At 37.0% G+C, this 26,088-nt stretch overlaps 1 protein-coding gene across 7 annotated transcripts in view, besides 1 other annotated feature; it reads left to right on the top strand.

The window, feature by feature from the left end:
- CUL3 (cullin 3) overlaps nucleotides 1–26,088 on the top strand; it is a 115,214-nt gene that overhangs the window by 54,419 nt on the left and 34,707 nt on the right. For all 7 annotated transcript variants that reach the window (NM_001257197.2, NM_003590.5, NM_001257198.2 and 4 more), the window contains 5 exons: nucleotides 16,173–16,333; nucleotides 17,307–17,421; nucleotides 19,363–19,591; nucleotides 23,942–24,087; nucleotides 24,813–24,989. In NM_001257197.2, the coding sequence (NP_001244126.1) occupies nucleotides 16,173–16,333; nucleotides 17,307–17,421; nucleotides 19,363–19,591; nucleotides 23,942–24,087; nucleotides 24,813–24,989 (828 nt within the window). The remainder of the gene's footprint in view (nucleotides 1–16,172; nucleotides 16,334–17,306; nucleotides 17,422–19,362; nucleotides 19,592–23,941; nucleotides 24,088–24,812; nucleotides 24,990–26,088) is intronic.
- Nucleotides 9,218–9,287: a silencer, noted in NCBI's record as "silent region_12381". NCBI's record gives its function as "represses an Ori minimal core promoter by ATAC-STARR-seq in GM12878 lymphoblastoid cells {active_cell/tissue: GM12878}" and the evidence as "EXISTENCE:reporter gene assay evidence [ECO:0000049][PMID:35858748]".

Here is a 26,088-nt window from a genome sequence, read left to right as displayed (position 1 = left end):
TTTTATGGGGTTTTTTTGTTTGTTTGGTTTTGTTTTTTGAGACAGGGTCTTGCTCTGTCGCCCAGGCTGGAGTCCAGTGGTGCTGTCTTTGCTCACTGCAGCCTCCGCCTCCTGGGTTGAAGTGATCCTCCTGCCTCAGCCTCCTGAGTAGTTAGGACTACAGGTGCATGCCACCACACCTGGCTAATTTTTGTATTTTTGGTAGAGATGGGGTTTCGCCATGTTGGCCAGGCTGGTCTCGAACTCCTGGGCTCAAGTGATCTACCCGCCTCAGCCTCCCAAAGTGTTGGGCTTACAGGCATGAGCCACTGTGCCCAACCAAAAGTGCATTTTAAAATTAAGGTAAAATTTAATGTATGTTGAAATGAACTAAAGTGTACAAAATGATTTTTGACAAACATATGCACCTCTCTAACCGATACCTCATTTAAGATAAAATATGCTTTTAATTTTTCAGAAATCAAAAAAGTTTTTCTCTGTGGACATCTCCACTTTTTTTTTTGTAAGACTTTTACCCTCAACCTAGACTCTTAGGTTATATTACCAACTATGCAGGTTTCTTGTGGTTACTGGCTCTAACTATTGGGATTTCAGATCTTAGGCCCAGAGCAGGAGGAGAGAAGAAACTTCACTGTCTGCCCACCTACTACCTAATCAGCTAGCTGACTTTTGTTTTTGTTTTTGTTTTGTTTTGTTTTGTTTTTTTGAGACGGAGTCTCACTCTGTTGCCCAGGCTGGAGTGCAGTGGCGCGATCTTGGCTCACTGCAAGCTCTGCCTTCCGGGTTCACGCCATTCTCCTGCCTCAGCCTCCTGAGTAGTTGGGACTACAGGCGCCTGCCACCACGCCCGGCTAATTTTTTTGTATTTTTACTGGAGACGGGGTTTCACTGTGTTAGCCATCATGGTCTCGATCTCCTGACCTCGTGATCTGCCCGCCTTGGCCTCCCAAAGTGCTAGAATTACAGGTGTGAGCCACAGGCCCGGCCTAGCTGACTTTTACTCTTAACAAGGAGGTGTCTGTGTCTAAAATGTTATGCATTAAACTATGGGACACACTGCCTCTTGAAAATGTAAATAAAGTCACAGGTTACATGGAGGTAACGATTGTTCAAAATTTGTCCCACATAACTTTGTTGTTTGGCAGGTTCGGTGTTGCAAAAATCAACTCTACATCTCTCTTGATGGAACATGTGGCCTCTAGTTTCTGCCACTCCACCCCTTCCTAATGCTTGAGACTTGCATTACCTGTTTGGCTCCTGAAAGCATTAAGAGTTTGTAATCCCTGCTTTACTTACATACGTTAATTTGATTCATTCTTTTTTTTTTCTTTTTGAGAGGGAGTCTCGGAGTACAGTGGCACGATCTCAGCTCACTGCAAGCTCCGCCTCCCGGGTTCATGCCATTCTCCTGCCTCAGCCTCCCAAGTAGCTGGGACTACAGGCACCCACCACCACACCCGGCTAATTTTTTTTTTTTTTTTTTGTATTTTTAGTAGAGATGGGGTTTCACCGTGTTAGCCAGGATGGTCTCAATCTCCTGACCTCGTGATCTGCCTACCTCGGCCTCCCAAAGTACTGGGATTACAGGCGTGAGCCACCACACCCAGCCGATTCATTCTTTTATTAAAGAAATAACTCCATGTTTAGCTTATAAGATAGTTTGGTACTGGTTAATATGTTTCACTTTCAGTTTTAAATTATTCAAATGATTAATGATTGGGAAAAGATTTGACATTACAGAAAATTTGTTATATACGTTATATTACAGCCTGAATTATTGATACAATCCATAAGTATTTATTAATATTTGGTTCATTTTTCTCTTTCAAGCTATGAAAATGAATATAATGTTAAGGGAAAATTATAGATAGTATTCCATAGACTACTCAAGCAATTACAGTTAATGTCAAAGGGAACAAAATGATTTCCTATCTTGATCTTCTGTTAAGAAGGCTAATAGAAGAATTGCTGTGCAAAACTTTATGGAGAATTTCAAAGGTATTTTTGTGTTTCTTCTTGAATTTGTATTTCCAGTCATTTTCACAAACAGCAAAGGTATTCTGAAAGGTATTCTGCAAATACCTTTGCAGCAAAGGTATTTGCAGCAAAGGTGTTCTGCAAATTATTCTGAAAGGAGATTAGAGGGAATAAATTCAAAGGAATGGGGAGAGAGTAACCCAAGAAAGGAGGGTCACTGCTTCTTTGAGCTATTTGGAAAGTCATCAAGGATGGGTAAAGAGATGAAGTGGTGTGTAAAAATAACTTTATGAAGAGGAGAGAAGCTGAGAAACTCTCTTTTGGTATTCTAGTCTCCTTAGTAAGGTAGAAGGTAGGACCATCAGTTTAGGGTGACAGAAGCATGTGAGTTGTTGAGCCCTTAAGGAGTGTGGTAGGCTACTCCCCAGCCCCCTAATCCCGAAATATGTCCATGACTAATCATTGAAACCTGGGAATATTGCCTTTATATGGCAAAAGGGACTTTGCAGATGTGATTATGTTATGGATTTTTAGATGAGATTATCCTGGGCTGTTCCCCTGGGCCTGATGTAATCATACTGGTTCTTACCAGAGAGATGAAAGAGTCAGTCAGAGAAAAAAGGCGATATGATTGTAGAAACAGACTGGAGTGATGGACTTTGAAAATGGAGGCGGGGGCACTAGTCAAAGAAGACAGATGGCCCCTAGAAAAGCAAGGAAATGGGTGCTCCTGAGAGCCTCCATAAGGAGCCAGCCCTGCCAACATCTTTGCTTTAGCCTGCTGAAACTGATTTCAGTTTTCTGAATTCTAGAATATAAGAGAATAGATAAACCACAAATTTGTGGTAATTTTTACAGCAGCAATAAGAAACTAATACAAGGAAAAAAAATGGAATGCTCACTGTGCTGTGATCAACTAGGTGTAAATAAATGGATTATCTATAGTTGTGAGGGGATAATTTAGGTGAGTTGGCACAAATTTTGTATAGTGGAGCCAGTTAGAGTTTGACCTTTTTCCAGGGTACTTAGCCTCAGAGAAGAGTGTTCAAAATAAGGAAAACCCACTGATAGAATTTTCCCTCTTGGGTGTGGGGGAGAATTCTAAGATAGTAGCGTTTTTGAAATGGTTGCTGTGGGTCTGTGCTGTTAAAGGAAGCAAGTGAATCTCATATGGTCCATGAAATAGAAGTATTACGTATTTGGGATCAGCAGACCTAGAGATCTAGTGAGAATGAGAAACGGGATCGTTCAAGTGTAACAAAGTAGGAGAGGTGGGAAGAAAAAGATGATCTTCAATGCCAGAGTTATTTGATGTCTTCTAATGATGAGGTTCAAGGTTTGCTTATATCAATGTGTGGCTGGAGGGAATCTTGATAAAATGCAAGATTAAAATTTAGGCATCTTTAAGGAGTGTGTCAGATTGCTCATTAGTGTGAACGTTGTAGTGCAAATGTTGCTCATGGTGTGAACCAAAGGTAATAGGTGGCAAGGAGCAGAGTTTAGATGAATACTATACGCTATTTGCTAAAGCTACCGTGGAGAATTTGTGTGCCTTTTTGGAGGCCAGAAGATAGGATAAGAACATAGAGATGATGGAGTCTGTGGGTCTGTGTTTTCTCATGTACATTTTGATGATTTTAGCTCTTTAAAAAGTTTGTTCACAATATTCTAGGTTGCACATTTAGAGAATTTTGAAAATAACTATATTCTGGAAAAGCACAGATAGATTAAGAATTTTCCTGGCACCTTCTCTGCTTTCAGAATGATGTACTAGAAGAAACAGGATGCAGTGACTTTTGGGCTATACCTCTTCAACATTTTGACTGACTTTGCTTTTGTAAGAAAGGTCTTTTTAAGACAGGCTTTCCCCATTTGTGCTCTAATTTTTATAGCTATGACTGACCAGTATCCAGTACCCCGGCATCTTTTTATAGTTAGAAGTCACATACTAGGCCTTATGTCAAGGAAACCAGGGCATCATGAAATACTGTAAAGGTTAAGAATGTGCCTGATAATAAGGGTTTCTTCCTTCCTTAAATTCCTGCTGCTTTTTAATTTTATTTTTCTTGCTACTTAAAAATGTTATTTAATATTTTTCAGCCCCTATCTGAAACAGATTAATAGAACAGTAAACTTTTTTTTTTTTTTTTGGAGACTTAGTCTTGCTCTGTCGCCCAGGTTGGAGAATGATAAACTTGATCGCTGTGCCTTGTGAACTGTTTTCTGGGTATATGCAGTGATGATTTTAGCAGTCCATGACATTAAGTTTAGGAAGGCAAGTATTCAGTGTTTACACTGCCTAACATGAAGTAGACCCTGTGGTCAGAAATAGAGCACATTATTTGTTTTTCTTTTCTTTTTTTTTTTTTTTTTTTTTTTTTTGAGACGGAGTCTCCCTCTGTCGCCCAGGCTGGAGTGCAGTGGTGCAATCTCAGCTCACTGCAGCCTTCGCCTCCTGGGTTCAAGCGATTCTTCTGCCTCAGCCTCCCGAGTAGCTGGGATTACAGGCGCCCACCACCACGTCCAGCTAATTTTTTGTATTTTTCTTAAAGACGGGATTCACCACGTTGGCCAGACTGGTCTCGAACTTTCGACCTCAGGTGATCCACCTGCCTTGGCCTTCCAAAGTGCTGGAATTACAGGCATGAGCCACAGCGCCCAGCCCGGAAATACATCACATCTTGATAGAGTAAAGGGAATGAACTTGTATACATAAAGTGGACTCTGACAATGTATATGGGAAGTTTGGAGTAGTGAGAAGAATGTTTAATGTGAATTAAGAAACTAGTTCCTGCTTTGTCATTAATTTGCTCAAGTTATTTACCCTCTCAAGACTCTTGTTTTCTTATCTGTAAAATTATTGGACAAGAGATCTGATTCTTATCTTTTGGGAGTCATAGATCCTTTGGAAAATGGTCATATTTCACGAACTCTCTCCTGGAAGAGGCAGGCATGTGTGCATGCACATACCATAGAACACATACTTTGTGCAGTTTCAAGGGGTTTATGGGTGCCTGAAACCTATCTATGGAATCTGTAAGGATATGTTGATTAGATTATTTTAAATGTTAGAGCCCTTTTAGCTCTTAAGTTTTATACCATCTTAAAACTGAAAGTGAACAGCTAGATGTAGTGTCTGAGGAATTATGATAATGAAGGAAGAAAACAGAGTAGATTAAGTTGATCACAGTTTCTTTAGGAACTCTTCAAGTAGGTTAATATAAGCCTTCCTTGGCTGAGTCTCCCCAACACTGCTACTCAAAAGAGCAAATAATACTTTTACCTTTGGTGCGTGCCAGGCACTGTTTAAGCACTTTATGTATGTTTATTTAATCCTAACAATATTATTATCTTATCATTATTTTTGTTATTTTTAAGCAATACTTTAGGAGATCAATAAAACAAAAAAATTTATTGTGTTTCTTTGAAGGTAAATGTTTTTCCAAATACATAACAACAGATATCATTTATTACATACCTGTATCACTGTGCCACATGTTTTAAATACTTGACCTTAAAGTTGAATGTTATCTCCATTTTTGTGAATGGAAAACTGAGGTTAGAAAGATTAAGAATGAGGTTAGAGAGATTAACCCGCCAAAATCATACATTTACTGAATAACTGGAGTAGAACATTGGATTTAAGCCTTTGAATTTGCAGTGTTTGATTTTTGATTCAAATTTGAATTTAGAAGTTGATTCTAAAGCTCATGGTCTTCACCACTGTGCTCTATCAATCACCTCAGTGCAAAAGAATTACATTAATTGACTGTTTAGTAGAGTTTATGATAAACCCAGAATTTTAAGGTGTATCACTTGTTCCATATATTGAAGCATTTAGTTTGTTTACATTTAAAATAATTACTGATACATTTGGGTTTAAATTTACTGTCCTGTTTTTTTTTTCTGTCTCATCTGTTCTTTATTACTTTCCTCAGCTTTTTTTTTTTGCTTTCTTTAGATTAATAAGTGTATTTTATTACCCCCACCCCCATTAGCTTATTATTTACATGTTATTTTAGTAGTTACCTTAGAGATTATATGCATTAGATTAGTTTTTTGTTTTGTTACTTACCACTTTCTGGGTAGGGCAAAGGTCTTAGAACATTTTGACTTCTTGGGGTTTTTCCCCTTTGGTTTTTATACTTTTGATCCTGGGTTGTTTTTGTTTTGTTTTGTGGGGGAAACGGGCAAGCATGGTGTTTTAAAATTTGAATTCCAGTATTGTTTGTGAAAAATTGTGGAGGCCCTGCATGATACCTTCCTCCAAAGTAAATTTAATTTTGTTCCGGCAGGCAGGTAAAGTACAGTCAGATCACCGTGATCTAGTTGAGGCTAGCTTTTAGTTAGTGTTGGTCTGTTAACAGTTTGCCTTTATTTCCAGGACATACCTATTCACAGAGCATAGTTCCTCTGGGGTCTGAACTGAAAGAAAGCCTGAGGTGTTTGCCAGGTTGCCTTCTGAATTAATGTTCCTAGAATTCTAACAGTTGTCTCTTCAGCACAGATCTTCAGCCTCCCTTTGATAGTTTCTGTTTGGATTCTTGGTGTCATCACCCCTTGCTTAGGGTGCTGTATCAGTAAACATCTCAGTGAAAAATTTCTTGCAGAAATTGCGGCTCTTTGTGTTTCTCTCCTCTTCAGAACCTTGACATCTTAAGTCCTAGCTGCTTGGTAACCAACTCCACTTTTGTCTTTCTGGTTGGGCTCTTATTTCCAGTCCTCCAAAGACAGCAAGTGACTGAAGGGAACCAGTGAAGGCTGGTATGGGGCTCCTCTCAGTATGTTTGCCTTTTCTCCGGAATCTTGGCCCTACAAGTCTAGGTTGCCTTTGTTACTCTTGATGCTTTTAAACACTGGGGGTTTTTGGTTTGTTTTTTTAATTGTGGTCAAATACATATAAAATTTACCATCTTACCCTTAAGTGTGCAGTTCAGAGCTATTAAGTGTACGTTCACATTGTTGTACAGAGCTGTCACCACCATCCTCTCCAGAATTCTTTTCATCTTGCAAAACTGAAATTCTGTACTCACTAAACAGTAACTTTCCATTTTCCCCTCCACCAAGCCTCTGCCAGCTACCATTCTACCTTCTCTGTTTATGATTTGATCACTCATTACCTCATGTAAGTGGAATCATAAGGTGTTTGTCCCTTTGTCACTGGCATATTTCACTTAGCATGTCCTTAAGGTTCATCGTATTACGGCATATGTGAGAGTTTACTTCCTTTCTAAGGCTGCATAATACCGCATTCTATGTGTAGACCACATTTTGTTTATCTGTTCATCTGTTGATGGACACTTGAGTTGTTTTCACCTTTTGGCTACTGTGAATAATGTTGCTGTGAACACGAATGTACAAATACCTCTTCAAGATGTGCTTTCATTTCTTTTGGGTGTATACCCAGAAGTGGAATTAGTGGATCCTATGTTAATTGTTTTTGTAATTTTTGAGGAACTGCTATATTGCTTTCCACAGCAGCTATACTATCTTAGGTTTCCACCAACAGTGCACGAGAGCTCTAATTTTTCCACATTCTTGTCAAAACTTGTTATTTTGTGTTTTGTGTTTTTTTTTTTTATAGTAACTCTTCTAATGGGTATGAGGTGGTAGTTTTTTATTTTCATCCAGCTTTTATAGTTGTTCTTCCAGGGGCGTTGGTCTTACAAAAGCTTTTCTTTCAGTACTAAAGGTGGAATAACATTTTGAGGTAGATGTTATTTTACAGATGAGGCAACTGAGACAGATACTAAGGTCACACCTAGTAAATGGCAGACAAGACTGAAACAGAGGCTATTTGGTTCTTGAATCAGTGCTCTTAACCACTGAATTGTATTGCTTCTCTAATACAGGTCTTCTTTCCTGAAAGATAGTCTTATAAATTCATTGCTCTAAGACCTCAAAGTGTGATTAACTGTTTTTTTTCCCTCTGACCTCTAGATTATTAAATTTGAAGTAGAGAACAGTGTTTTTATTTTATGATTTATTGCAGTTTACACAACTTTAGAGAAACATGGGTTTGATTTGTCCAATATCTTGGTAGACAATTCTTAAATGGAAATTATTTTTAAATAAAAAATTTTCACAACTGTGTTTTTCTTGTTAAAATTTTTCAGACCCCTGAGAAGGATTGTTTTTTTGAGACGGTGTCTCACGCTGTCACCCAGGCTGGAGTGCAGTGGCAGGATCTTGACTCACTGCAAGCTCCGCCTCCCGGGTTCATATCATTCTCCTGCCTCAGCCTCCCAAGTAGCTGGGCTACAGGCTCCCGCCACCACGCCTGGCTAATTTTTTTGTATTTTTTAGTAGAGATGGGGTTTCACTGTGTTAGCCAGGATGGTCTCGATCTCCTGACCTCATGATCCGCCCGCCTCGGCCTCCCAAGAAAGATTTTAAGAAAATTTTTACTGTGGTGGAAACTCTGAGCTTTTTAGTAGTGGCTAAGTCCACCAGGTTTTTTGACACCATATCATATGCTTCTCTACCAAATTTATCAGTAATATTTTTATATCTAGAAATGTTTATCTGTACAATTTACTAATTCATATGTTACTGGTGCTGTTTTAGAAGTGTAGTCAGTTACTGGTATCATGGAAAGTATTGAGAAAGTTCTTTAAACTTCGATCTAATTATAATTAGACTTTTTTTCCCCCACTATGATTCTGCAGTAGAAACTTTTTACTACTTTTCTGCTCATTTAAAATTTTTCTATTTCTGTCTTCATTGTGTTAAACCTTTTTAAATCTGTATTTATTTCATGATTTGAAAGTGAACTCTGAAAATATTTTATTACTTGTTAATAGAGGATTACCTTAGTGATTAAATTTGGTAAGGCAAGTTCTAACATGTTCTGACAGACTTGTCATAGAGTTATTTGCCTCTTTTTTTTTTTTTTTTAATTTTAAATGTGAGTTTAACTTTTCAGGGTTTATCTCTAGCTTACTAGCAGAATAAGTATTTAATATTTATAAAGATTTTTTTAACCCTGTTTACATTTGTCTTTTCGTATTCTCTTTTACAGTAGTAGACAAAAACAGTTACAGATGTTCTTAGTATGAGGATAAGAAACTGAAAGAAGAACTATTTAAGAGTTTGATTAACCAGCTTGACAGTTAGCTTAAAAGACCAACTTTCACAGCAATTCACACATTGTTAAACCTTTTTTTTTTTTCCTAAATAAATAGCTACTGCTGGCCATATGTGGGACCAGGCAGAGGATAGATGAATAAGTACTAATAAATAACTATCCTTGGTCTATTAGGAGTAGTAGTAAAAGTACTGAACTACTTTGAGAGGCCGAGGCGGGTCAGGAGTTAGAGACCAGCCTGGCCCAACATGGTGAAACCCCAACTCTACTGAAAATACAAAAATTAGCCGGGCATGGTGGCACATACCTGTAATCCCAGCTACTAGCGGGGCTGAGGCAGGAGGATCACTTGAACCTGGGAGGCGGAAGTTGCAGTGAACCGAGATCGTGCCACTGCACTCCAGCCTGGGCAACAGAGCGAGACTCTGTCTCAAAAAAAAAAAAAAAGAAGTATGAAACTACTGGACTTTAAAGCAAACATGTTATTAAAAGCTCCCTTAAACTTTGTAATAGAACCAGAGGACTTTTGTATTTATATTTATACTAAGCTTTCAGAGTTGAATGTGACCCAAAGGTTAGTTTTAGAATTTGTTCTCAAACACCTGTTTACTCATAGTTACAAATGAAACATTAGATAGGAATGATAAAATAACAATTTTTAAGTTGTTTCTTTCCTTGGGTGCACCATTGATTTTGCCTAGAACCCATTTATCCTAGCTTGCTTTTCTGTAACATAATGACTATTAAAAATATTTACTAAACTTTTTCTTGCAGGTAAATTAAGTAGTAAGAGTTAAGTTGTTTTTTGGACTTAATTTTCACATTTGTTTTTATTTTAACTTTTTATTTGATTTGTTTGTAATGCCACTCCCTGAGTAATGAAACTATTTAGCGCACTTTAAGAGACACCCCTTGACTTTGCATAGGTTTAGCTTCAATAGGAACTGTATTTTTGCATTGTGTGTCTTGACACCTTTGAGCATACTTTTATGTGCTGAATTTGATTTCTTATACATCATTTAACTATTTAGATATGTTGGTAGGGTGAAGAGGAAGAGGCACATCTTTGCCAAGATGGTGGAAGTAGTAATATCTGTGGTCTTGTAGGGCCAAGCATTTTGTTTGTTGGTGTCCTCGTGTCTTCTGGGCATGCAAAGAGCCCTAGGTCTTGAGTAAGCATTTGCAGGAGTTTTCCATGGAGGTCACCTGGTTGAGCTTTCCTTTTCTTGTGGCTTAGAAAGACTCCATCTCTCTCCAGTCCAACTCCTGGAGACCTGCCTGTCCTAGTTGATGTTTTAAAACTGGTGGTGCTTTTGTATTTTTTTATCCAGCCTTTATAGTTGTTGGCAGGGAAGTTGGTCTTAAAAGCTATTTATTTTCAGGACTAGAAGTGGAAATGAGTGGAATAGCATTGTGAGATAGATGTTATGTTACAAATGAAGTGCTTATGTTACAAATGAAGTTGGTTTATCAAGCTTACTGTATGGATGAAGTCAGATGCAGAACCAGCTGTGAAAAGGGGGGCATGAGGTGGGTCCCCACCATTGGCTCCTGTCTCTCACCACAGGTCCACCTAGCTTGTGAAAGTTTTTGCTCATTGCAGGCCTGCTTGGCCAAGGAATAGCAACCCTTGAGAGAGAACTGTAAATAGAGATTTAAAATGTGGTTTATCTCTGTGGTGATGAAACTCACATCCCTTTATGTAAACATAATGCTTGACTCACATTAGGCTTTCGAACATGTTTTTCAGAACATTTTATATTTAAAATGCCTGTTTTTGGCTTTAAAAAGGCAAGTAGAAAAAGCCACCAACTTTCTATCTCTGCTAAGGTCTCTTTAGTAGATAAGTGACTAATGTCAAACTCATACTACATTTTGGTCACTACATTTTGGTCAAAGCCTGGGATTAAGACATTTTAAAATCAGTCTTTAATTTTTTTTTTTTCTCTTTTGGAATGATTTTTAAAATCTTGTTCATACTTTGAGTTTGCTAGTTAGAGGTAACCGGAGCTGGGACTTTTAAAAAATCTTAAAAAATAGACACATAAAAATTAAAACCTCACAAGAATTTAAATGATATTAGAATCATATCATGTGCATATCACAAGTTTACTGTGAATATATGTGTGCATTTCTGTTTAACATATGCACACAAATACTCAAGGGTTATGCATCTGTACCCTTAATTGTACTTGATGGTAATTAATCATACATGTCAGACATTTAATATAAATGATTATTTAGTATTACTATTAATAGTTTTATAGAGCCACACTTAAGTTTCTGTGTTTCTTCTCCATTTATTAGCTCTTTTTTATCTATAATGAAATTTTAGGGTTATCAAGTTTTTCTTAATATTATATGTCATTTAATTATCATCACACATCTTGACAGTCTCAAGTTGAAAGACAAAGGCTTAGCTCTTACACCACAGTAACCCATGGCTTTAAACATTCTGTGTTCTGCCTACACCTTCCAGCTTCAGGTTGATTTTGTCTCTTACCCGAAATGCTTGTGACCATAAGTGTTTTCAGATTTTGCATTTTGGGGGGATTTTGGAATATTTGCATATACATAATGAGAGATTGTGGGGATGGAACCCATGTGCTAAACATAAAATTCATTTATGTTTTATATACACCTTATATACATAGCCCAAAGGTAATTTTGTACAATATTTTAAGTAATTTGTACATGAAATAAAGTTTTGGCTGCAACCCGATGCATGAGGTCAGTTGTGGAATTTACTTGTGGCATCATGTTGATGCTCAGAGTTTCAGAGTTTGGAGAATTTTAGATGTCAGATTTTTGGATTGGGGTGCTCCAAACTATGTATTCTGATCACATGCCTTGGCTTCCTTTACTGAAGCATCATTTTCCTCTATACACAGCATTCCTGAAGAATTCATCAGTTCTGACTGATGTCTTTCTGCCTTTTTGCCAGAGGGCTTAAGATAGCAGACATTGTAGGCCATAAGGTAATAGATTTACCTCCTTTAGTAGCGATACCATCACTATGCTTAAAGTTGGGACAGGGGAAATCCAAGCCATGGGAGACCGATAGCAAATAGAAGGGGAAGAAGTAGTGAAGTGTACATTTATTTGATCCTGCATGTATATTATTTTTTGGTGAGAGGATTTTCATAGGAAATGATATTAATGTTTTAGAGATTATCTTTACCAGCCATTTGTTTTACTGAGGGCCACAATGAATAAGTGACTTAAGGTCACATAGCCAGTTAACAGTAGAGCCAGGATCATATAAAGAATTCCTAACTTCACATCAAATATTATTCTTACTATTAGAGGTTTTTTATTAAAAAATTTACCATAAGTGATAGATCCCCCTTAGAAAAGTTTGATAATTTCCATACAGCCCAGTAATTCCTCTCTTAGAATCCACCCAAGAAAAATGAAAGCATATGTCCACAAAAATATTGTACCCAAATGTTTATAGCCACCTTATTTGTAATAGACAAAAAATGGAAACAACCCAAAGTATCCATCAGCTTATAGATAAGCAAAATGTGGTGTATCCATGCAATGGAGTGCTGTTTAGCCCTAAACAGAAGGAAATACTGTTGTATGTTACAACATTAATAAACCTTACAAACTTTATGCTTAATGAAGGAAATCAGACACCAAAGATTACATATTACAGGATAATTATATGAAATGACCACAAAAGGAAATTTACAGAGACTGAAAGCAGAAGTGAACAAAGGACTTGTCAGAATTGCCAGTACTTTCTATTCTAGCTGCAAATCCCGATAAAAGGTTCTCTCACTACTGTTAGGCTACTTTTCCAGTATAATCTTCCATATTCTTCACTTACCAGTTGAACTTTGTGCTTATTGAAGTTCTGTTGTATTTTTCAAACCTGTGTATTCGAATTGTACTTATTATTAATATATAATTAATATTGTGTAAATTGATAAAATCTTGTGAAAAAAATAAAATTTTTTATTTGGCAAGCTAGATTGGATGCTTTGGAAAGACTTCATAAAAGCAAATGGCTACATACTGGTTTGAATTAAGTGTAGGTAATTTAAGACATTAGAGTGAAAATAGTAAAAAAAAATCTAGAAGGATTTTACATTCAGATTACTTCACAAATGCCTCTAGTTCATGCTTCACCTTAATGAAACTGAGCTAGGAATGCTAGACAATTTATTATGTATGAGTGTTTATAAGTACACTATTTGTTTTCTTTTTGAAATGGGGTCTTGCTGTGTCATCCAGGCTGGAGTACAGGGGCTGGCTCATTGCAGCCTCTGTCTACTGGGTTGAACTGATTGTTCTGCCTCAGCCTCCCGAGTAGCTGGGACTACAGGCGCGCACCAACATGCCTGGCCAATTTTTGTATTTTTAGTAGAGACAGGGTTTCACCATATTGGCCAGGCTGGTCTCAAACTCCTGACCTCAAGTGATCCGACTGCTTCGGCCTCCCAAAGTGCTGGGATTACAGGCGTGAGCCACCGCACCTGGCCTGTATGTATACAATATTGAGCTTCAGTCACAGGACTCATTTTCAAAGAAAGTCCTGATGTCTGAATGAACGTTTATATTTTTAAATTAAAATGTTCAGGATGCAAATGTGTGTATATGTTTAATAGTTTCCCTGTTTTACTACCTGTCTTTAGCCATTCAGATAGTGTTTTTGATCACATTGGTTAAAAGGTATTCTCCTGTCTCTGGTGCTTTTCTGTACAATATATACTTATATGTAGAACTTAGAAAAATCAAATGTGTAAAATAGTTTAAGCAATAATAGTGATTATTTTTATAATAAAAGGGATTCTTGTTGGTTTTTGAATTATTAAATTTATGCTAGTTTTTATTATGTACATATTGTTCTGTGCTGAGAAGTAAAACACGATTAGTTATGACAGTAGGAAAAGGTTGGGCCTGGAGGTCATGTGAGATGAAAGAGGAGGTTTACAGGCGGTGGCTCACACCTGTAATCCCAGCACTTTGGGAGGCCGAGGTGGGTGGATCACGAGGTTAGGAGATGGAGACCATCCTGGCCCACATGGTGAAACCCCGTCTCTACTAAAAATACAAAAATTAGCCAGGCATGGTGGCGGGTGCCTGTAATCCCAGCTACTTGGGCGGCTGAGGCAGGAGAATCACTTGAACCTGGGAGGTAGAGATTGCAGTGAGCCGAGATCACACCACTGCACTCCAGCCTGGTGATAGAGTGAGACTTCCTCTCAAAAAAAACAAAAAACAAAAAACAGTGTTAGCCATCAAAAGCAAGGAGGGAGGCTGGGCTCAGAGGCTCGCGCCTGTAATCCCAGCATTTTGGGAGGCCAAGGCGGGCAGATCACAAGGTCAAGAGATCGAGACCATCCTGGCCAACATGGTGAAACCCTGTCTCTACTAAACATACAAAAATTAGCTGGGTGTGGTGGCAGGCGCCTGTAGTCCCAGGTACTCACGAGGCTGAGGCAGGAGAATCGCTTAAACTCGGGAGGCAGAGTTCACAGTGAGCCAAGGTCACGCCACTGCACTCCAGCCTGGTGACAGAGCGACACCCCATATCAAAAAAAAAAAAAAAAAGCAAACAAAAAAGGAGGGACGTGGTCAGAGGGAAACTTGGAATTTAAGATCTTGAGGATGGAAGTGTGAAGTCCAAGAAGTTCAAAGTCATCAATAAGCATTTTGAACTCATCAAAATTGATGTTAAGATTTCAAAAATGTGATGTGAGCTTGTGCTGAGATTATATAGAATGTAGAAATGTGAGCACTGAAGAAGATAATATAAAAAATAGCTTTCCTTGTTATTAGGTGTTAAACCATCATACAAGATGAATGAAAGGAGAAGGTTGGAGGAATGATGTCATATGAAGCAAGAACTGCACGTGGAGAATTTAATTAAAATTGTTTGGGGCCGGGCATGGTGGCTCACGCCTGTAATCCCAGCACTTTGGGAGGCCAAGGTGGGCAGATCACTTGAGGTCAGGACTTTCGAGACCAGGCCAACTGATGAAACCCCGTCTCCACAAAAAAATAAAAAGATTAGCCAGGCATGATGGTATATGCCTGTAATGTCAACTACTCAGAAGGCTGAGGCAGAATTGCTGGAACCCAGGAGGAAGAGGTTGCAGTGAGCCGAGATGGCACCACTGTACTCCAGCCCAGACAACAGAGTGAATGAGACTCCATCTCAAAAAAAAAAAAAAGTTTGGAAAGTTGATTAGTATTATTCTGGTTACATTGTTAATATGGTAGAGCTCTGTTCATGTTCACCTTATCGTTAGCTATAACCTGTAGATTCATGTTCAAGAATCTGGTGAAAGATATGGGCTTTCTTTCCAAAGTACTTAAGCGTGAACAAACATATAACTTAATAATTTTAGAAGGCTCACAGACCCACCAAAGCCCAGAGAGATCCTTGCTGAGACGAGAAAGGAATTACATTACTAATCCTTCTGTGCATTACAAAAAACAGTAGTTTTATTTCAGTGTATTTTGCTATCAATATGGATTTTCAAGGAATGCACAACACTTCTGGATTATCTGTGCTTTATAAACTGAGATATCTGTAATCATGTTGGTAAGAACTTGAAAGTAATAATCTGTTTGAAGTGACAGTAAGTAGAGGTGTTTTAATTATGTAATACTTAATGCTGCTCTATTTTATGCATTAAAGCCTTTTAAATATTTATCAGTAACAATCAATCTAAGTTGTATAAATCCGTACTTTATTCAACTCTCAGTTTTACTTCAAAGAATATGATCTTCAACTACAGTATTTAAGAACGAACCATGTTTGAGTATGCTGTAGCTTTGGGGAGAAAGTGTGCTACCTTACTATTTACCTTTTTTTACTCTGTTTTTTTCTTCCTGGCTATGATGCTTACTTTTTACCCTTTTTCTTTAGGTAAATGGGCCACCATTTATAGCCATTGTCAATTGTAAAAACTTAACTTTATATAACTTGAGAGGTGCTGGAAAGTTGCACATTGCTTAAGATCATTTGAAGTGTTTCTCACCTGAAAAATGATTGCTTTTGGAATTTTATTTCCTTTATTTGTTATTGTAGCACACAATAATTATTATGCTCACAAGAACTGTACTCATATTTATATGACTTTAACTGTAGGACCGTGTGTATGTACAACAAAATAATGTGGAGAACGTCTACAATTTGGGATTAATTATTTTTCGAGATCAAGTTGTACGTTATGGGTGTATTAGGGATCATCTACGGCAAACTCTATTGGATATGATTGCAAGAGAGCGGAAAGGAGAAGTCGTAGACAGGTAAAATTTCTCTCTTTACTCTTGTGGTTTTGGTTTTAGTGATTATATCTTGAGAACGATTCACTGTCTTAGTTTTATTAAAATAAATAAAAGTTTGAATGTTGAGCACATTGGGAAAATCCTCAGAAACTTAGTATCAGAGTTAACAGTTACCCAAAATTTAATTTGAAAGCACACATCTTTTATATTTTTAGAAGAGACTATCCTAAGCTTTTATTTAATATGCTTTTCAGCTAGCCGTCACTTTTGGCTTTTCATTTATTTTTCATGCCAGCATTTTTTTCTTTTTTTCTGTGTAATAACATTTGTATTTTTTTTTCTTTAAGGGCTTTTGTCTGTCCTTCATTCCTAACATTTTTGAAGAAAACTATTGAACATAGTCTAAAATGACTAAGAACTCCTGTGCCCCTTTTAAGTCAGATTTCATCCCCCTTCATAACAATGATTGCAGTGTCATTTTGGTGATGCTGCAGCTAAAGTGGCTTGAAATGCATGATTTTTTTTCTCTCCTTATCTGTTTTCAGAACAGCTGTTGGATGAAAACGTGTAAAGTTCTTTTTATTTCGTCTTTGGTGCTTGATCAGCATTGTCCAAAATCCATGTAGTGCAAAAAGTTATATTGCCCAGGAGTAGCTGTATATTGGACCCATGTCTGGCAGTACAGCTTAATCTGCCTATCTCCCTCTCTCCCTTCTTCCAGATAAACAGCCTCTCTGTGTTTTCAAATACATAGAAATATTTAGACATTTTAGAGTAAGAACACCTTGAGAGAAATAGCTGTGCAGTCAAGATATGCTTTCCAACTTAAAATTAGGCTAAATCCTTTCGTTTTACATGAGTGGCCTATTGGAGATTGGTCACTTCAGTAAGAGTTAAATGTCCTGAAGATATTTTTACCTACTCCTTTTTGTAATTTTTATGTGAATTTTTAAATGTAATTTAATTATCAAGTGATAATAACTTTTTTCGACAGAGGCGCAATAAGAAATGCTTGCCAGATGTTAATGATTTTAGGTCTCGAAGGAAGATCAGTCTATGAAGAAGATTTTGAGGCTCCTTTTTTGGAAATGTCTGCAGAATTTTTTCAGGTAATCCGTGAAAATGTAAATAAATAATCTTTTAAGATGTTCTTAATGTTATTTAATATAGTTACTAATTTAACTATTTTGACCTTTTTTAACTGAGACCCATTAAGGGAGGGGAGTATGCAAAAAATGCCCATCAGCACACTACCTCACATTCTGACCATTCCAGTTAAGCAACTCATCGATAACAAATTGAAGAGGTTGAACTTACACACATGGTTTTTAAAATAACAGAGATGACCCTTGAACAGTGTGGGGCATAGGGATGCTGACGCCCCTGTGTAGTCAAAAGTCCACATAAAACTTTTGACTCCCCAAAAACTTAACTAATAGTGTGCTATTGACTGAAAACCTTACAGATAACATAAACAGTTGATTAGCATATATTTTGTATATGTATTGCATATTGTACTCTTACAATAAAGTAAGCTAGAGAAAAGAAAGTGTTATTAACACCATTACACGGAAGATAAACTGTAATTTACTGTTCACTAAGTGGAAGTGGATCATCAGGGTCTTCATCCTCGCCTTCATATTGAGTAGGCTGAGGAGGAGTAAGAAGAAGGAGGGCTTGATCTTGCTGTCTAAGGTGGTAGGGGAGGAAGAAAATCCACTTCATGGACCTGTGCAGTTCAAACTTGTGTTGTTCAAGGGTCAACTGTATGTTATGAAACTGTAAACTTAGAAATATCCTTAACTTTTTACTATATCTAATATTATAAATTATTTAAGTACTATAAATTCACAGCAGTACATCACCAACGAAGTCTCATCTGCAGGCTTTTAGTCACTTAAATTACTAGTAAAACACACATAAGGATATGGATGATTCTGTAGTGCATATTTGCCTAAAGGTTGTTGATTAAAATATTACAGGCCAATGGTACTATTGATAGAAATTGGCAACAGTGGTCCAAACCAACTAAATTGCTAAAAGTAAAGCTAAACTGGTACTAATCTGTAATGAAATGATGATAACAACAATAATTGAGTACTAGTAAACATAAGATAGTAGTTATAAGGTAACTGTAACAAGGCATTTTTCCTGAAAACCGTAACTACCTGAGCAGTTAACAGTAGGAATTTTGTAGTGTTGCCAAAACAGATGTATTCGTAGGAAGCTAAAGTGTTGGCCGGGCACAGTGGCTCACGCCTGTAATCCCAGCACTTTGGGAGGCTGAGACGAGTGGATCACTATATCAGGAGATTGAGACCATCCTGGCTAACACGGTGAAACCCCATTTCTACTAAAAATACAAAAAAATTAGCCGGGCGTGGTGGCGGGCGCCTGTAGTCCCAGCTACTCGGGAGGCTGAGGCAGGAGAATGGTGTGGACCCGGGAGGTGGAGCTTGCAGTGAGCTGAGATCGCGCCACTGCACTCTAGCCTGGGTGACAGAGCGAGACTCTGTCTCAAAAAAAAAAAGAAAAAAAAGATGAATAGTTATTTAAAAGCTCTTATTTTCAAACTTTAGTGTACATGTTTACTCTTTGAGACTGGGAGTGGGATGGCACTGGAAGACTTAATTAACCAGCAGTATGCCAGCAAAGCTTATGATAAACATGATGAATCTTTCTGGTTATAATTTTACATTAAAACAAATCAAAAAAGAATGTCCCACTGTATCTTGGAGTCAGATGCTTCTAAGCTTTTGACCCTCACTGGCGTGTATATACTTGTTCTGCTATTTTTTGGAGTACATTGGCACAGTTTGAAAAACATTGCTTACAGATAATGTTTTAATTTAGTATTATGTAAATACCAAAGGCTTTAAAGGATATAATTCAGACTATATCAGTCTTTCGTGTAATGAGAAATTACACAAAATGCTAATAGTACTTATTTTATTTAGGCTGATTTATTATAAACACTGTAGAAACCCAGCTAAAAGCAAAAACACTCTTTTCTTCTATGTTTAAAAAATATATATATTTTTAAATGGCAGATGGAAAGCCAGAAATTTTTAGCAGAAAATAGTGCTTCAGTATATATAAAGAAAGTAGAAGCTAGAATTAATGAAGAAATAGAACGAGTGATGCACTGCCTTGACAAATCAACGGAAGAACCAATTGTAAAGGTGGTTGAAAGGGAACTCATTTCCAAGCACATGAAGACTATAGTAGAAATGGAGAATTCTGGGCTAGTACATATGTTGAAAAATGGAAAGACAGAAGGTAAGTGTTACCGATTGAAAAATAATTAAATCCTTACTCTGCCTTATCGATATTTTTAAAATTTTCCTACAATTAAAGCAGATAATATCAGCTTTCAAGAAGTTTTGGTGTGTATTGTTAATTTGTCTCCATTGTTAACTTTAATGGGATTTCCAAGCTTGATTCTGTCTTACTAACGAAGATTTTAGATATTTCTAATGAATTGAGCATTTCCTGTCTTTAAGTCTCATTTTACATTTAATCCAGAAGATAAAAGGTGTAATAGTATTGGTGAGCCCAGTGAGCTCCTCATTCATTCCTGTACTTCCTGTATACCAAAGGGTGTGGGCTCTCTTTAGTCCTACATACTCTCTTGGGGTTTTGTGATTCTCTTAAAACCTTAAGTTTCCACCTTAAGATTTTTGTAGACTTTCCTTTGGGATTTAGTTGTGACAGGGTGCTGAAAATGCAAAAATATTTGTGTCTTCCATATTGACATACTTAGATAAATTAGATTGGTTTGGGGAACACTGAAGTTACAGAATGGAAAAGGAGGAAGGAGGAGTGCATAAAAGTAAAGAACATTTTTGAGATAACTAACATTTGTTTTTTATAGCTATTTATTTTCCTGGGGTAAAAGAAAAATTGTGACAAGTATCCTAGAAGAAATTACAAGTTAAAAGAACAATAACCATATCCTCTATTCTTAGTTTCTGATGCTTTGTTTTAAAACTTTGCCTTTACCACTTATATGGTATTAGGAAATAAAAAACATGGTACTTTGTTCTCCTGCTTCCTAGACGAAATCTAAGCAATATTTTATCCACTTCTTTTTAGTAAAAGAAATACATATTGCCTGTTGGGGTCATGAGCTATGTAGGGAATGAAAAAATTTTTTAAAGGAGAATTATAAAGAGAAGGAGGATACAAGAGAAAGGAAAACGAAAGCTGGTGGGAAGTTGAGCCATGTTTATCTCTAGTGGAATCCTTACCTTGTGTTTTAAAATTGTTAAATGTTTGTATATATGAGAAATCCCTGAAAAGTTATATGTAATTTAAAAAAACAAAAAAAAAACAAAAAAAACTAGAGAGGCTTCCTTTTTAAAAGACTCTTCAGTTAAACCTTTTTTGTAAAAGCCAAAAAAAAAAAAAAAACAGAAGTCATCTAGTATATTTGCTGTGTTTTCTAAAATTGAGGTCCAAGTCAGGGGTTGGCAAGCTTTTTTGTTGTTGAATAAAATGGCTTGTGAGCCACGCAGTCATAGTGAGAAAATAGTCCTAGACAATAACAAATGAATAATCCTGTGTTTCTATAAGACTTTATTTATGGGCCCTGAAACTTGAATTTCATATAATTTTTATGTGTCACTAAATAGCATTCTTTACAGTTTTTCCTCAGCCATTAAAAATGTGAAAACCATCCTTAGTTCATGAGCTGTACATAAATAGATGGCAGGCTGTATTTGCCCCACGGGTTCTAATTCGATGACCCTTCTCTAAGTGGTCTCTGGTAGACTGGGACTTTATGCAAAGCATTTGCCCTGCTTAAACAAAATGAGTATTGATAAATTATGTAATGTACTGTTTAGGTATTGAATGAATGCTTTCTTACCTACCTTAGGGGATAGGAAATGTTTGATGGAGAGGTTGTTGGGCATACCTGAATTACAGCATCTCTGTAACCTGTGTGGAGATGTATGTAAAAGGTGTCAGGTATGCCTATCATGGCGAGCACTTACGTGAATGAAGGAATACCATAATAGTACTCACCAGAGTTCTCCTTTATTTAGTACCTTAGGTTTCCAACAACACAGTAGCTATCTGTGATTCTAAATTAAATTTTAAAATCCTGCTTTTGTCCAGGCAGGGTGGCAAACGCCTGTAATCTCAGTATTTTTGGGAGGCTGAAGCAGGTGGATCGCTTGAGCTCAGGAGTTTAAGACCAACCTGGGCAAATTGGTGAAACCCTGTCTCTATGAAAAATACAAAAATTAGCTGGGCATGATGGCACATGCCTAGTCCCAGCCACTTGGGAGGTTGAGGTGAGAGGATCATTTGAATCTGGCTGGGGAGGTCAAGGCTGCAGTGAACCAAGATGATGCCACTGCACTCCAGCCTGGGCTACAGAGGGAGATCCTGTCTTAAGAAAAAAAAGGTGGGGGGGTTAATTTTTCTGAGCTTCCGCTAGAAACCTGGTGGCAAAATATCCTAATTGTGGTAGGCCCTGCTCTTGGAAAAAATGTTGCTCTTGTTGAGAATATAGCAGAGCCAACTTCACCATTATGAAGCCAAATTCTCATAAATCAGAAAATGAAAAACAGTTTTCTCACTGTGAATGGAGGATAAATTGGATTGATTATTAGATGCAGATAGCACTATGAAATGAAGTTCAGAGGTATCTTTTTTTTTTTTTGAGACGAAGTCTTGCTCTGTCGCCCAGGCTGGAGTGCAGTGGTGGGATCTCAGCTCACTGCAAGCTCTGCCTCCCAGGTTCATGCCATTCTCCTGCCTCAGCCTCATGAGTAGCTGGGACTGCAGGCTCCCGCCACCACGCCCGGCTAATTTTTTGTATTTTTATTAAAGACAGGGGGGTTTCACCGTGTTAGCCAGGGTGGTCTCGATATCCTGACCTTGTGATCCGCCCGTCTCAGCCTCCCAAAGTGTTGGGATTACAGGCGTGAGCCACCGTGTCTCGCCAGTATCTTATTATTTTATTAAGTGTATGTAGAAATAATGATATTTAATTTTTGCATGCCAAATTATTTTCATTTACTTTTACATTCCCTTTACCCCAACATTTAAATACAATGAAATTGTAGTAATTTATGTACAACTAAATACACAACATGTAATATCTAAGCAAAACTTACAACAACATAGGATTGAAATAGACAAGTTGTGAACCATTTTGTTAGAAGTATTTGGTGTGCCACATTTACTGTAGTATGTGTCCATAGATTGTTGCATTTGTAATACCTGTTCTAAATATGGGAAACTTGGTTGTAATTTATGCTAAGTATGTGAGAAGCTATAAAATTGCCATGTGTAGGTTACTATGGGCATATATTATTAATGGAAACTAACTAAAATTTGCTGCTGAAAGTCACTGAAATAAAGTTTAGTAAAACTTTGTAAATCTTGCTTTGAAATATTTTAAAAATGTATACAACTTTAAGCTCTAAACTACTCTTAGAACTGTAGACCAAGGTAGGCAAATTAGGGCCTGCCTGGTGCACTACCAGTTTTGTTAAAAAAAAAAAAAAAATCAAGAGTATTTACACATGAAAATTTATATAAATTTTCAGGGTCCATGAAGTTTTATTTGAAACATAGTCACACTGAATAATTTATGTATTATCTGTGGCTACTTTCTTGCTACAGCGTCAGAGTAGTTGAGTCAGAGCTCTATGGCTCACATTTTAAAATATTTATTATCTGATACTTTACAGAAAAAACATTGGTCAGCCTCTGATCTAGAAACTCTTAATGCCATTTTAAAAAGTTATTGATTGTAAAACTTTTAAAATTATCATTGTAAAGTTCTGACACTGTGTTCTCCCAGTAAGTTGTTATTGCAAAGAAACACTAGACATATGGGAAAACTGTATTTTAAAATCTGTATTTTAGTCTTGTGAAAAATGATATTAAAAAATGGATAGGATCCAGAGTTTTCATTCTAAATTTAAAAAGTATAGTGAGATAGACCAAATTTTGAAGTACAGATATTGGCTTAGGATGCTACCTGGGAAACATTAGGGATTGCTCTCAGGAAAATATTGAAGAAGTGGTATTTATATTATACATTTCATAAAAACTTTACCTGAGGTGTAATGAAGTAAATCCTAGTATAGTTCATTTGATTTGTTTTCATGATTATCAGTTAAACCTTTGGAAATACCCATAAGACTTAAACTGGCTTTAAAATTTCTTCCTCATTACAGGGACTACCAATTACCTCTTAATTAGTGACCCTTTTTGTAGACGTTTTGTAGTGTCATTAGGTCTGCATTAGAGTTATGTAGGATAAAGTATTTATGAACTCAAAACTGCAGTTGCCATGTTTTTGTGACATTACTTGTTTATTATGGTTTTTGACATCTCTTCCATGTAAATTTAAATTTGCTAGGACATTTAATTGATGGTTTCAAAGCATCTCATCTAAAAGTTGTGTTTTATAAATTACAATAATAACCATTAACTAGCCTACTTCTTCATGTTTTCATATCAATATATGTATATTTTTAATAGTCATGTGGTCAGCAAATGGGGGTAATGGAGAAATAAGCTTCTCTCAGTATTATAGCGTGAACAGAGATTCGTGTTTTTTTCTTTAATCTTTAATGTAGCCAATTTGTGTTTTCTGATTTGTAGACCTTGGTTGCATGTACAAGTTATTTAGTCGTGTGCCAAATGGTTTGAAAACAATGTGTGAGTGTATGAGTTCCTATTTGAGGGAGCAAGGTAAAGCTCTTGTTTCTGAAGAAGGAGAAGGAAAGAATCCTGTTGACTATATCCAGGTAAGTAAACCCAGAAGATTCTCTGTGTTTATGATAAAGGCATTTTGACAAGTGCTAAAAAGGCCACTTTTACCATGCTGTGTATTGTGTACTTTCAACTTAATTGTCCCAGTAGTAAATTAATATTTGTAATTATCCTACATATTTTAGGATTTTGCAAGGTGTGCGTATTTATATCAGGGAGCTAAAATTCAGCTGCTACTTTTCATTTAACTTCTTTGATGAAGACCTTGTTTAAATAGCCTCAATAGTGAATGTGAGGTTCTTTGGTATGCCTTAGTGTTTGTATACTGTAGTATATTGGAAAAAACAACTGGTTTAAGTATTTTTTGTTTGAAAATGTTTTGTTTTCAAGGAGTACTATGAATAAATTATGTGCCATGTTTTGTGTTTTAACATAATCAGCTTTTTTTGGTACATTTTTTAAGCTAATTTTTTTCACTGGCTAACCCATTCCATCAAGACAGGAGAATGAGAAACAGTGAGGAGGTTCTTTGGTTCGTTTGCATTGTATTAATACATATATGGAAGTTATAATACTTCTCTCATTGACATTTTTAATAGAGGCTTAGATATAGGCTTGAAAATAATATCAAAACTGTAAGTTTAAAAATGAATATACATGTTTATTACCAGCAAAGTTAAGATAAACATACATGGTCATAAGTGTATTATTTATGGAAAAATTATTATAATGTGTCCTAAATTTTGTTTTTATTTCTAAGGGCTTATTGGATCTGAAGAGTAGGTTCGATCGCTTCCTCCTGGAATCATTCAACAATGACCGTCTCTTTAAACAAACTATTGCGGGTGACTTTGAGTATTTTCTCAACCTCAACTCCAGGTCTCCTGAATACCTCTCATTATTTATTGATGATAAGCTGAAAAAGGGAGTCAAAGGGGTAAGTAGTAATGCATTTGAAAATAACATTTAATTTTATTTAAAGATATAAAATTATATGTAAAATTAGGACATTTCACAGATAAAAATTAAGCATGACCCATTGCTGTGCTTAAATGGGTGCCATGGTCTATTAAAAAATATTGTTTGAAATACTTGACATGCCCAAACGTAGTTAGACATTTCACTTAATGTGTAATTGGCTTCAAAAACAAGCAACTGGATGGGCTTGGTGGCTCATGCCTATAATCCCAGCATTTGGGGAGGCCAAGACAGGAGGCTCTCTTGAGGCCAGGAGTTTGAAATTAGCCTTGTTAACTTAGTGAGACTCCATCTCTACAAAAAAAAAGAAAAAAGAAAAAAATTAGTGGCACACAGTGGTATACACCTGTTGTCCCAGAAGCTGAGGCAGAGGATCACTTGAGCTCAGGAGTTCAAGGCTGCAGTGAGCTGTGATCGCGTGACTGCACTCTATGCTGGGCGACAGAGCAAGACCTTGTCTCAAAAAAACTGAACAACTGTCCAGGTATGGTGGCTCATGCCTGTAATCTCAGCACTTTGGGAGGCCGAGGTGGGCAGACCACCTGAGGTTGGGAGTTTGAGACCAGCCTGACCAACTTGGTGAAACCCCATCTCTACTAAAAATACAAAATTAGCTGGGCATGGTGGTGGATGCCTGTAATCCCAGCTACTCAGGAGGCTGAGGCAGGAGAATCACTTGAACCCAGGAGGCGGAGGTTGCAGTGAGCCAAGATGACGCCACTGCACTCCAGCTGGGGCAACAATAGCGAAACTCCGTCTCAAAAAAAAAAAAAAAACTGAACAACTACACAGCTGTAGTTGGTAAACAGTCATTTTTATGACTGAGAGTTAGGCATGCTGAAGATAAAGAACTAGAAAACTTTCTAGTAGAGAGTGTTGTTTGCTCTCATCTGGTTCTGAAGGTTATATGTCAAACAATAATTGGATGCCAAGAATATTAAGGCATAGATAGAGTAGATCTCATCTCAGAAAATGGTTGGTGTAGCTCAATTTCAAGCCTTTGTGATATATGATATCTCTGGAACCTGAGGAGCTCACGACAGCATAGAAAATCAACT

This window comes from Homo sapiens, chromosome 2 (genome assembly GCF_000001405.40).
Source record: "Homo sapiens chromosome 2, GRCh38.p14 Primary Assembly".
Classification (NCBI taxonomy): domain Eukaryota; kingdom Metazoa; phylum Chordata; class Mammalia; order Primates; family Hominidae; genus Homo; species Homo sapiens.
This window is presented reverse-complemented; position numbering and strand designations above follow the sequence as displayed.